This window comes from Homo sapiens, chromosome 10, assembly GCF_000001405.40.
Source record: "Homo sapiens chromosome 10, GRCh38.p14 Primary Assembly".
Lineage (NCBI taxonomy): Eukaryota > Metazoa > Chordata > Mammalia > Primates > Hominidae > Homo > Homo sapiens.
The window spans coordinates 113,398,868-113,411,403 of NC_000010.11; the positions used below are offsets into that span (position 1 = coordinate 113,398,868).

The 12,536-nt window shown below is 47.4% G+C and overlaps 2 annotated features.

The window, feature by feature from the left end:
- Positions 2,409–2,909: an enhancer, noted in NCBI's record as "H3K4me1 hESC enhancer chr10:115161035-115161535 (GRCh37/hg19 assembly coordinates)". NCBI's record gives its function as "activates a minimal SCP1, AML or CMV promoter by ChIP-STARR-seq in primed H9 embryonic stem cells {active_cell/tissue: H9 hESC(primed)}" and the evidence as "EXISTENCE:reporter gene assay evidence [ECO:0000049][PMID:30033119]".
- Positions 4,903–5,197: a silencer, noted in NCBI's record as "tiled region #9752; K562 Repressive non-DNase unmatched - State 24:Quies". NCBI's record gives its function as "represses a minimal TATA promoter and a strong SV40 promoter by Sharpr-MPRA in K562 cells {active_cell/tissue: K562}" and the evidence as "EXISTENCE:reporter gene assay evidence [ECO:0000049][PMID:27701403]".

Here is a 12,536-nt window from a genome sequence, read left to right on the forward strand (position 1 = left end):
GCCAATGTCTTGGAAACTTTAAGCTAATGGCCCGTTGCATTGTAACTGTGCATTTGGGGTTTGCTTTCCAGCTTTTTCCTGGGTGGCTTGAGGAAGTTCATGCATTAAAGGACAATGCTTGGCCAAATAAAGGGAACTGAGCTATCTCATGGAAGTGGAAAGAAGAGTCATTGCTTTGAGGGACTTGGCTAAGTAGATTTTTGGATTTGGGCAATGACCTGGGCTGGACATTTTTAGCAGCAGAAGCCAAAAAGGAAATGCCCTGGGCGACATGGTGTCTGCCCTCTCCTAGCAGAGAACATACCCATTCATTAGCATCATCTGGTTGGGGGTGGACATGGAGAAGTCTGCAGGCACAGGGAGAATCAGGAGTAACAGTCTGTAACTCGGTGGATTGTGATGTAATTTTCCATTATCACATGAAAAGCCAGAGGATGATTTCATTCCACTTTTGTCTCCTAAACAATTTTGACTTCCTGTTTAACACTAAGTTAGCACTTCTCTGTGGCCAAGCTGTGACGTTTGTTGAGGACTTGTCCCCATGATTTTCTGGTTTTGGGATCCCCACGTCTATCCACCCACTTGGTCAAATCTGTGAAGTTTCATGGTCCTCTGAGATATGTCCCAGGCAAGGTGGGTGACGGATATCTCTAGCAGGAGGGAGCAAGAGGGACTGATCACTTGATTTCTTCATCTATACAATGGAGATGATTTTTCTTGCCTCTTGGAATGGTTATAAGTATGCAATGAGGCCATATTTGTGAATCATGAGTACCTCCTGCAACTCCAGTGCAGAGGAGGTGCTCAGAGAATTCCAGCATCTTTCCTCTGTGGCAGAGCAGGACCTTGCACACAATCACAGGATTGAGAGCCCTGGAGGAGGGTGGAGTTCCACAAGGCTCTGGTTGGCAGGGGTGGCCTTTTGCCCATCTCTTGCCGCAGTCTCCTGTAGATAGAAAGACCCAGGACTGTGCTTCTTAACTCTCTTTTTGGGACGTGATCTATTTGAGAATCAAATAAAATCCATGGTCCCTTTTCCTACAAAAATGAACATGTAAGTAGGAATGACGGCAACTTTTATGGAGTACTGACCCTGTGCCAGGCCTTATGCTGAATGTTTCCATGGATTATCTAACCTCTGAACAAGCCTCAAAGGCAGATACTATTTATTCTCGCCAAATGCAAATACTGAGGCATAGAAAGTTAAGTAACTCAGCCACAGCTATACTTTGTGCATTCGTTTCCTAGGGTTGCCATAAGGAAGCATAGCTGGTGCCCTGAACAACAGAAATGTATTCTTTCATGGTTCTGGGGGCTGGATCTGAACTAGAGCTCAAAGTGTGGGCAGGGCCGTACTCTCTTAAGGTAGAGTCTGTGCCATGCCTTTCTTCTGGCTGCTGGTGTTGCTGGCCATGCTTGGCAGTCTTTGGCTTGCAGCTGAATAACTCCAGTCTCTGCCTCTATGCTCACATCTTTCTCTATGTCTGTCTGTGTCTCTTCTTCCTCTTTTTTTAAAAGGACGCCAGTCATGTTGGGCTAGGGATCCCACCCTAATGACCTCATTTTAACTAATTACATCTGCAAGGACCCAATTTGCAAATAAGGTCACATTCTGTGGTATTGGGGGCTAGGACTTCACCATATCTTTTTGGAGGACACAATCAACCCATACCACTTACTAAGTAGTAAAGTCAGGGTTGAACCTGGGTACCCTTGCTTCTGAGCCTGATTCTTTAAACCCTATGTTGAATTACTTCCCTAAAAACACACAGATGCACTCACGCCAAAACATGGCGTATGTCAAGGGGTTCTGGACCCCCTCCCCAAAGCCTACCATGGACATTGGATGGTTACAGTGACCTTCCCTTCCCATCCAGAAAACTTGGCTCAGGAGGCTAGACTCAGGGACAGGTACCTGGAAGGCCAAGGATAGGAGGCCAGGGCAGAAGAGGGAGGGCAGGGGGAAGTGCCCTCCCAGCACCTGGCTCAGGAGGCAGGGGTCTGAAGCCCTCCACCTGGTGAGTGGCCCAGAGTGTGCCCTGGACTTGTGGGCACCATCCTCAGAGGAACAAACAGAAACCAGGATAGAATTTCCTCACCACCACGATTTTTAAAGCACCTATTTCGTTTCCCAGCACAGTGCTGGGAAGCAGGGATCCTAAGGGGTCCTAAATTTAGAAACCATTTTGGCCCTCCAAAAATTTAGGACCTGTTAGTATAAAAGTCAAGAGATGCTGTGAATCAGAAACTTGGTGAGTGGGCAACAGCCAAGCAGACAAACACAGCCAAATCCAGCAGAAATAGAGAGCCCCAGGAATCAAAGAAGGGGATTAGGAACATACAGAAGGAAGTGAGAATTCAGGACAGCCGTCAGGGCAGCGAGCGCCGAATGCTCCAGCAAGGTCAGGACGACGCCTGGAATCCAGGCCGTTCTTCTCACTGATCTCGGGCCTGCCCGGCCCTTTCATGCCTCTGTGCTGTCGTCCATGCTGTGCCTTCAGCATAAAATGGCCCCTGGGCCTCCTCTGTGTCAAGCAAGCTCCCCTTCATCCTTGAAATTTCCTAGAGATTGAGCTTCAGTGCCACATTCTTTGCAGGTTTGGCTGCTCCTAGCTCTATCCCCTCCACCCTTTGTTCTGTTATCACTGGGGGCCTCATGTCCCCGTTTATGGCCTGCCTCACCCGGTAGACAATGGGACCTTGAAAGCAGAACATCACCTTCTTCACCCTTTGATCTCCAGAGCACAGGATAGCACCTGTCTCCTAGTTAGACAATCTGTGTCTTTGTCTGTCTGGGCTGCTAAAGCAAAATACCTTAGAGTGGGTAATTGAAAAACAACAGAAATATATTGCTCACAGTTCTGGGGGCTGGGAAGTCCAAGATCAAGGTGCTGGCAGATTCAGAATCTGTTAAGGGCCCTCCTTCTCCTAGATGGGCCTTCTTGCTGCATCCTCAGGTGGTGAAAGGGTGAGAGGTGAAGGAGTGCCCTCAGGCCTCTTTTATAAGGGCACTAATCCCATTCATCTGGGCTCATTGAGAGGCCCCCCCCCCCCATCTTAATACCACATTGGAGATTAGGTTTCAACATAGAATTTTGGTAGGGGCATACATGTTTAGACCATAACAGTCAGTATGTGGGGAGGTTTGTTGACTGGATATATGAAGGCCTTGTAATAGGCCCAAGCTCACAGGTAAGAGTGAGGAATTGGGCATACCTGTTTGAAAGGAATGGCTGGCGAGACATAGGAAGACAGGTGGGTGTGTCTTCATCTGATGTCTCTTTAATCAATGGCTTCATGATGAAGGCTTGGAGGCGCATGTCCCAGGTTTAAAACCTGGCTTCTAAACATCTGTGTGTCCTTGGGCAAGTGACTTGACCTCCCTGATCCTCAATTTTCTCACTTGTAAAATGGCAATATTAACTACACTACCTACTTGGCAGGGGTGTGTGTGGAGGGTGTATGTGAGAGTGAGATGAACTCATGTAACATGTTCAGCACAGTACCAGACACAGAGATAAACATTCAATAAATAGTTACTGTTGTGAATAATATTGTTGTCACTGTGATAAGAATGATTCAAGTCGAACGCACCTAAACAGCTATGATCCTAGGTTAGCTTAATAAGAAACATTTAACCCAGCCCCTTTTGTTGGGCACAGCTCTCAACAACAGCTACAAAAATCCTTTCAAGATTGGCAAGAATGTTCTTTCAAATGATGCAGGCTCTTGACACAATGTATATTTTCAAGACCCAAAAGTTTCCTGAAAAATTACATGTTCAGGGGTCTATTACCCTTTCAACAATAGTTCACGAATCCTGAAAGTGCAGTGTTTGATCCTTTCTCCTCAGTAAGACTGAGATGAGGAAATCATATTCATTGTCAGAGTCAGCTGTGAAATCCTCAGACGGCAGAGGGAGGAAGGGGCTCTGCAGGAGGGCGAGCCCCCTGGTGTGAGATGAAAAAGGAGCAGGAAAGGACAGGCACTCACCCAAACTCCTCACCAAGAGACTCCTGGAACTTTCCTTCTGCACATTCAAAATGTCTCTTTTCCTTTCAAATACAGGTATGTATTTCTGAGCTGTGAGCATTCTGAGACCATTCTGAAGTGACCTGGCACAAAGTTGTAGCTCTGGGCTCTGGTTCTTATCCCATCACCAGTTCACTGTGTGCCTTTCGACAAGTTACTTAACCTCTCTGAGCCTGGTTTCCTTAATCTACAAAAGGTGTACTGGACTTATGGATGAAGGCACTTTCCAGCTTTGGCCTTCGTTGATGTTTATGTCTAGGAGGTAGCTTTTCTCTCCACCGGTGGTGTGAAATTGCTGTTCACATTGACAAGGTCAGCCAGAGCTGGGTTCAGGTCTCAGCATAATCTCCTAACCAGCCAAGGGACTTGGGGCATGTCTCTTATGATCACTAACCTTCAGTTTCCTCTTCTGCAAAATGACAGAAACCTTACCTGCCTGGCTGGGCTCTGGGGAAGACTAAATGAAGTATCTTGTGTTTCTAGCCCAGACTCTGGCACTAGCCAGGCCTTGGAGAAGTTCGGTTTCTCTTTTTTCCTAACACCCATCTTCCCTGACTTCCTTTCTCATATAGTTGTTCTGCCACTTCCTCCCCATTTCCACAAAGCCCAGACCAGGAAAGTGAAAGTCAGGGTTACCATCCTTCTCCTATGAATCAATGGACCAGCCCTGTTTTCCACTCCCCTGCCCAAAATTGTGGCTAAGCGCCCTTTCCAAATTCATGAGCATTCCTCTGATGATGATGATGATGATGTAAGCAACATCTATTGCATGTGGCAGGCTCCAAGCTGAGTGCTTTGGGGACATTCTTTCACTTCTCATACATGAGGATGGTATTATAACCATTTAACAGATGAGGAAACTGATGCCTAGGAATGATTAATTGGTAACTTCCCCCATCAGTAGGAAAATAGTCAACATCTTGGGTGGGATCCCAATCTCTTGATGGCCTAGGTGTTTATCCCTACTGCCCTGATAATGAACCTCCTGCTTCTCAAAACCCTGAACATTAGAGTGGGCTTAAGTCAAAGCCTTTAGCCAGGTAGGAAGGAACAGGATGTGCAAGCATGGTGGGCCAGGGAGGACGGCAGCCAGCAGTGATGGTGTCACTGGGTTGGGAGTGAGGCTGAAGCCTGGTGGCCCCCTCCCCCACACCTTCTACCTACTTTGGCTCTGTGGCTGTCACAGTGTGAAAAATGATCTCCCAGTGACATTGACAGGCCAGACTCTGATTGGCCGTTAGCCTCAACTGTGCCAAAGCTCATGCACAGAGCTGGGAGCTGGGAGCTGGGAGAAGCGAGGCATGAGGCTTGGAATTACCCAATGGCCGACTGTGACCCTGGGAGCTTAGCTTATTCCCCTGCATCTTTCTGCCTGAGAAAGGGTGAAGGGGAATCTAGTTTCCAGGATGGGAGCTGTCACTCTCATTTGTGTGTGTTTGTTTGGTTTTTTTTGAGACAGAGTTTTGCTCTGGTTGCCCAGGCTGGAGTGCAATGGTGCAATCTTGGCTCACTGCAACCTCTGCCTCCCGAGTTCAAGTGATTCTCCTGCCTCAGTCTCCCGAGTAGCTGGGATTACAGGCACCCGCCACCACGCCCGGCTCATTTTGTATTTTTAGTAGACATGGGGTTTCACCATGTTGGCCAGGCTGGTCTCGAGCTCCTGACCTCAAGTGATCCACCCGCCTCAGCCTCCCAAAGTGCTGGGATTACAGGCATGAGCCGTGTGTTTGTATTTGCTGCCAGGAACTCCTAAGCTGCAATGTGAGGAGGATCTGGGAGTGGTGTGGCTCCTCTCTGGCTGAATGAGTGGAAAAGAGGAAATGGGGAGTGGTGCTTATGAACCTGGGGCTGGAGAGCAAGTTGCTTCCAGTTGTGAGCAGAGCTAGCCAAGGCCCTGGGCTAGTCTTTCTGCTTCAGGTGTACATGTCAGCCTGGGCCCTGCCAGGAATTCTGCACTTTCTTTCTTTCTTTTTTTTTCTTTTTTTTTTTTTTTTTTTTTTTTTTTGAGACAGGGTCTCACTCTGTCACCAGGCTGGAGTGCAGTGGCACGATCTTGGCTCAGTGCAACCTCCGCCTCCCAGGTTCAAGCGATTCTTCTGCCTCAGCCTCCTGAGTAGCTGGGACTACAGGCATGCACCACCACGCCCAGCTAATTTTTGTATTTTTAGTAGAGACGGGGTTTCACCATGTTGGCCAGGATGGTCTCAATCTCTTGACCTCATGATCGGCCTGCCTCAGCCTCCCAAAGTGCTGGGATTACAAGCATGAGCCACCGTGCCCGGCCCTGGGATTCTGTGCTTTCTACCTGCATGGTTGGCTTGCCTTCCAAGGCTTAAGGCAAGATTTTTCCATTCCAGCCCCAGTTCTTCCCCATCAGAGGATGCTAGGGTGGGTATCTAGGCCAGGAGAACTTAGAGGTTGTTAGTTTTACCTGGGTTGGAAGCCTAGGGCTACAAAGTCAGCTGTGTGACCTGAGCAAGACACTGAAGTACTATAGGCTTCAGTTGCCTCATCTGTGCAGTTGGCATAAAAATAGGCCCCACCTTTTAGGTTAATTGTGTACAAGATGTGGAATGTAAAGCACATATCACTAGCTTGACACATGGTAGGTGCTCATTTAATATCATTCTTATTGGTAGCAGAACTTGCACAATCTCTTAGACATGTCTTTGGGTCATAACATTAAATTCATAACATTAAATTCAACTTTGCAACCTTGCAGTAATCTACTTGCCCACACTCCCAAATCCAACAAGGTGCCCTCTCAGACAAACAGAGGTCTACCAATGACCATGACTGAACTTTATCCAGCCCTGAGTCCCAGGCAGAACAATAATCACATTTATTATTTGTGAACTTATTTAATCTTCAGTATAACCCTGTGAAGCAAGTACTATGTTGTCTTCATCATCCCCAGTTTTATAGGATGAAGGGATGTGCTCAAGTGAACATGGCTACTAGGAGGAAGTCAAAGCCAGGATTTGAAAGCAGATTTCCCTGAGTCACTAGGTGTTGCTGCCTCTCCCATCACAGCTGTGCAAACTCCAGCCACTTCTCAGCCCCTCTACTCCATCATCTGGTAAAGGAGAGGGCTGAAGATTTCAGAACGGTGGCGAGGGGAAGTTTTGTCCAAAGTCAACCTCCAGGATATTGGACACAGATATCGTCAGTCTCTGCAGAGGTGGCTTAACTTCTTCCTTAGCCTACAAGACAAAGCACATGTGCTTAACATTCCCTGTGATCACCTTGAAGCCAACACAAATGCCAAATTCTCAGTTCAGTGTAATAGAAGGAAAATGTACAGTCTCTGTACTAGGTTGAATCAAATCCTCCCAAAATAGATGTCAAGTCTTAACACTTGACACTTCTGAATGTGACCTTATTTGGACACAGGGTCTTTGCAGATAAAATCAAGTTAAGATGAGGGCATACTGGATTGGGGTGGCACTAATCAAATGGCTGTTGTCTTTATAAGAAGAGGAAAATTTGGACAAAGACAGAGACACACAGGGAAGACAGACATGTGAAGATAACAGGCAGAGATCGGAGTGATGCGTCTATGAGCCCGGGAAGGCCAAGGATTTCTGGCAACCACGGGAATCCCAGAAGTAGCAAGGGAAGATCCTTCCCAAAAGCCTTCAGGGGGAATGTGCCCTACCCACATCATGGCTGCAGACATCTAGCTCCCAGAATTGGGAGAGGGTACAATGCTGCTGTTTCAAACCACCTAATTTGTGGTAATTTGTCACTGTAGCTCTAGGAAACTGGTACAATCTCCTAGAAGGGGAATGCTTGCATCATCCTAGAAACCATTTCATCTAAATGTATCTGACAGATGGAGAAACTGAGGCTCAGACTTGTGCACCAGCCAGGGTGCATAACTCAGGGCAGAGCAGTAGTCACACCGTGGCAGATAGGACAGGTGGCTGGCGGGTGTTCTCAAATCCTCAGTGAACGGCTAGTCCTCAGTGTCACCAAACACAGTAGTGCTTCTGTGCAGTGTGGGGCTGGGGGCTCCATGACACCAGGCCTCCAGCCTCTCTGTCTCAGTCTTTGGCATGAGTGCTGTGGGCTCTCTGGGAGTGGGCCCCCTTCTCTGGAAGATGCCACGGGGCTCTAACAAAAGCTGTGCTCTGCACCCCTCTCAGCACTGCATGCGCTCCCCGAGGCAGATTGAGACCTGTGCAGTCTGTGGGTGGTCAAAGCAGGTTTTGAATGTCAAACAGACTTTATGGGCTCCGTTCTTCGTGCTGTGGAGAGGCCCCCTGGCTGGGGTGGGATCGTTTATAATGTGGTTATGTATTTGAAAGGCTTCCATATGAAAAGATGCTGGGACAATGGCATCGACTTGGCGTTCTCTCTCCTAAGTTGAAATATTGAATATACCTGAAGACTTAGTTAACGATCTTTGGGGAGAAGGCATTAGAATCTTGAAGAGGTTTTCTGATGCACCAAAGACAATGTCAATACTGTCTGAGGCCGCCTCCTCTCCAACCCCCTCCCTGCCTGGGGACTGCAGGGGAGGGATCCTGGCTGATGATTCTGCCTAGCGGTGCTACCTGGGAGTCAGACAGTGCTGGCAGATTACGACGCTACAAGAAGCCTCTAGAACCAAGCCCACTACCCTATTTAGGGAAATGCACTTTGCAGCTCTAATTGTCTGAATATTGGAGAGGTGGGATTTGGCCACACAGATAGTTGCCTCATTTGTTTAATTTGTAGGGATAAGTCCAACTCCTTCCTGATGACAACACAGTGTCCAGCATCTTTTTTGGGGTAGGGATGTGTTTACCTTCCCCTCTTATTCATTTGCCTGTAATTATTCATCTGTATATTATTCAATGTTCATTTTTCATCCATGTGCCTGAGTGGATCATGTGGAAAATTCATTGTGAGTAGTTGAAATCTTTGCCTTTTCATTAGATTTTACCATATTTTCACACTTCTAAGTTTTGTTTTCTTCTTAGAAAACTCTATTGAAATATGAAATCGCTGTTTTCCTCTTAATAACGATTACAGTCAATTCAATGATTGACCATAAGATGAGAGATGTTATTTTAGGTTTAGATTGCTGTGTGAGACCTGTCATCAGAGTCAACTGTGCTGAGCTTCCAGAAGCTTCTTTCCTGGCCTTGAGAGAATCTGAGGAGCAGAGGTGGGTGCTGGCACCCTGACCAGCTTTATCCCTCTCTTTTGTATATTTTACTCTTAAAAAAAAGGTAGCTGCTGTTGCTTTGAATAGGGGAGAAATACTTGCTTCTCCTGCAGACAACAGCTGGGGGGAAACTTGTGGAAACAGACTCACGTAGGACTAGGATGCTGCTATCCATGGTCCACTCAGCAAAGATAATCAATCACTTTGACTGAATAGATTAGATTCTTCAGGAAAACAAGTATTTTGAACTAGGGCCTGGACTTTCCCCATTAATTGACCGGTTAGTTGCCTGAACTGATTTTTCCACCTACATACAGGTAGATTAGCCTCTCAGTTCCCTGGAGGAACTCAGATCAGGAAGTTTCAAGATGGAAGTTCCCATAAGAGATTTCTCCAGATCTCTCCCTCCTTCACCTGCCCCCTGCCCTCACCACAAGGCAGCAACCTTACAGAAACGGCCCCCTTGGCCCCTTCCCATGGAGGAGCACGAAGATGCTCCAGGGCAGAACTTGTTCTGCCCTGTGAACCCAGGGTTCCATCCAGCCTCCCTGCCCCCACCTCCAATGTATGCGCTGGATAAAAACGATGAGCCACCTCCTTCCCACCACTGCCCCCAAACAGAAGTCTAACCAAGCCTATGCCCATGATATAGAAATTCTTGCCTCACCCTGGGGTTCATAGCATGTCCTTGTGTCAGGTCATGCAGTCGGTTTTCTAAGGCAGATGAGAATTCTGAGGGTACTCACATGCCAAAGGAGAATACAAGAAGCACCATCCCTCTCCCCAGCACTGACCAAATTCACCCCACAGGCCCTTGGCACAGCTGACTACCCAGACGCCACCGGCTTGGCTTCCTTTTCCAGGGGCGTCCCCATGAGCTCCATGTGGGGCTGTATCCCCACCTGCTCTGCCCTCCTTTTCTTCTGAACATCTCCCCAACCTCCCCACCTCTGACATCACTCCCCATCCTGGAGTTGCCTGTCCTCAGCCAAGAGCCGGCAACATGACATTTCTCCCTCCCAGGATGCTTCCAAATCCCTTCAGAGGCATCTCTGTCAGGGGGTTCCGAGGCGAGTGTCGCCTCTCAATTGCTGAAGAATATATTAAACATTCCTGATAGCGACGCTTTACTCTTAAATACAAAACCAGCCCTTTTCAAAGGCCCCCTGAAGGGCCAAGAACATGCCCTGACTATAGGGAAGGAAACATTTTATCCAGGCAATTCTTAAGCAGAGAAACACCCAATTGATTCGGCCACTGAAGTGTGAAATCATTTACACAGCGCGCCGGCAGGGCAGCCACACTGTGCGGAGGCTTCCCGGCCGAGCTTGGGCCCAGCTGGCCCTTGGTAATCATGGCCTCTGCTCTGGCTGGGCCAGCACTGCTGTGGTCAAGGCCAAAGCTGAGGCACAGACTTAGTTCATTAGTGTGCCCATGGCTGGTGGGGAAGGGCACCCAACAGCCTCATGCCTGCAAATTAATTGTATGCCAGCGGCTTTGCAGAAGCATCCCTGTTGGGATGTGGCACATGGCATGGAGTCAGTAAGTGTTGAATCTTATCACTAGCCTCATATTCATTAATATTACACTAAATCTGGCCAGGAAGCCCTTTATGTGAAGGGGGCCAGAAGCCAAAATGAACTGCTTGCATCCTGCTCGTTGTCAGGAAGGGACGGTGCAGGGAAGTCAGCATTGCAATGAATGCTTTTGAGTAATGTCTACCCTGGAGTTTTTTCATGGAGATTCAAATCAGCTTTGTGGAAAATGGGCTCTCGTGGCCAACAGGGCAACATGTCACCAGAGGTGTCCAAGCAGAGGCTCGGGACACTCATTTCTGTCCTTGGAGGAGGAATCTTAGCATGGCAAGAGGCATCTGAGTCCCCTCACCCCCAGCAAACCCTTGCATATTGTATCGGTGCATTAACGAGAGGCCATTTGTCTTTTGTCAATTTACTCCTTCTACAATTTTATATTGAGTGCTTACTAGGTGCTCTGCTAGGTACCAGGAAACTATCCAAAATTTAAAATGTGAACAAAAGAGATCACACACAAAAAATGAAACAGGATGACATGAAAGAAGAGTGTGTCTGCTGTAAATGGAGTGGTTAGGGAAGAGCTCTCCTAGGAGGTGACATTGGGTCTGAGACAATGCGAAGGAGCCAACTATGCAGAGAACAAGATTCTAGGCAGACGGAACCATAAATACCAGTACCATGAGCCCAGGCATAGTTCCATGTAGTGGCTGAATCCTGTAACCAAGGGGAGCAGGCAATGAGATAAGACTGTACCTGGAGATGGGGCCCAGGCTGTGCAAAGCCTTGTGGGCCAGGACAAAAGGAGATGAGGTTTTATTCTAAGAGCAACAGGACGCCACTGGAGTGTTTTATGTAGAGATGACTTGACATCATTGGATTGACGCAGGGTAAGCATCTTCCAGAACAGTACCTCTTTTTGTCATTGTGTCTTTCAAATGCTGAGAAAATGTTTTGCATGGGTAGACCAAGGGAAGAAACAACTCTGCTAGTGAGTCCATAGAAGTAGATGCAGAGACCAAAATCCTGTTTTACAATGCACTGGGCTTTGAAATGCCTTGAAAATATTCCCAGCCGATTCCTGACTCTTTAGGGCTGCTTTCAGCTCACTTGAGCTGTAATGAAGGTGGCCCTTATCAGCCTGAGCTTGAGCTGCCTTAATTAGACCAGATTCTCTATCTTTAAATTGGTCTTACATCAAAGCGAGAGTTATAATTGCAGGTGAGTTGCATTGTTATGTAGAATACAGCTGCCAGCAGGTTGTGTTAGGATTATTGAAAAGCAATTTGCAGGGAGGTCTGTGGGGGAAAGGTAGTTCACCTCACTAAGCCTAAAAAAAAAAAAAGAGCAATAGATAGCTGGAGGTCTTGGAAAAACATGTTTAACAAGAGGTATTATTCAGTATTTTACCAGCTCTATTTTGCATGCACATCTGGCTTAAGCCACTCCTGGCTCGGAAACACTGGGCTGTTAAGTTCCACGTTGTTAGAGGTCATTACTGGTCTGCATTTGATATGGCTGAGGGATTGGTTTGCAGGGGTCAAAATAGGTTATCAGGAGAGCTCAGGCAGCTGGAGGCAATTCTGAGGCTTTTCACCAATTCCCTACTCTTAAGTTTTGGAACTGGGAGATTTTAGACTTACAAGGTACTCGTGGAAGACACTTGTCTAGGCTGATTCCATAACTTGGCTACTGTGGATAGTGCCGCAATGAAAATGGGAGGGCAAACATCTCTTCGACATGCTGATTTCAAATATTCTGGTTAAATACCTGTAAGTGGGATGGGACAACATGGATGGTGTGTTAGTCCGTTCTCA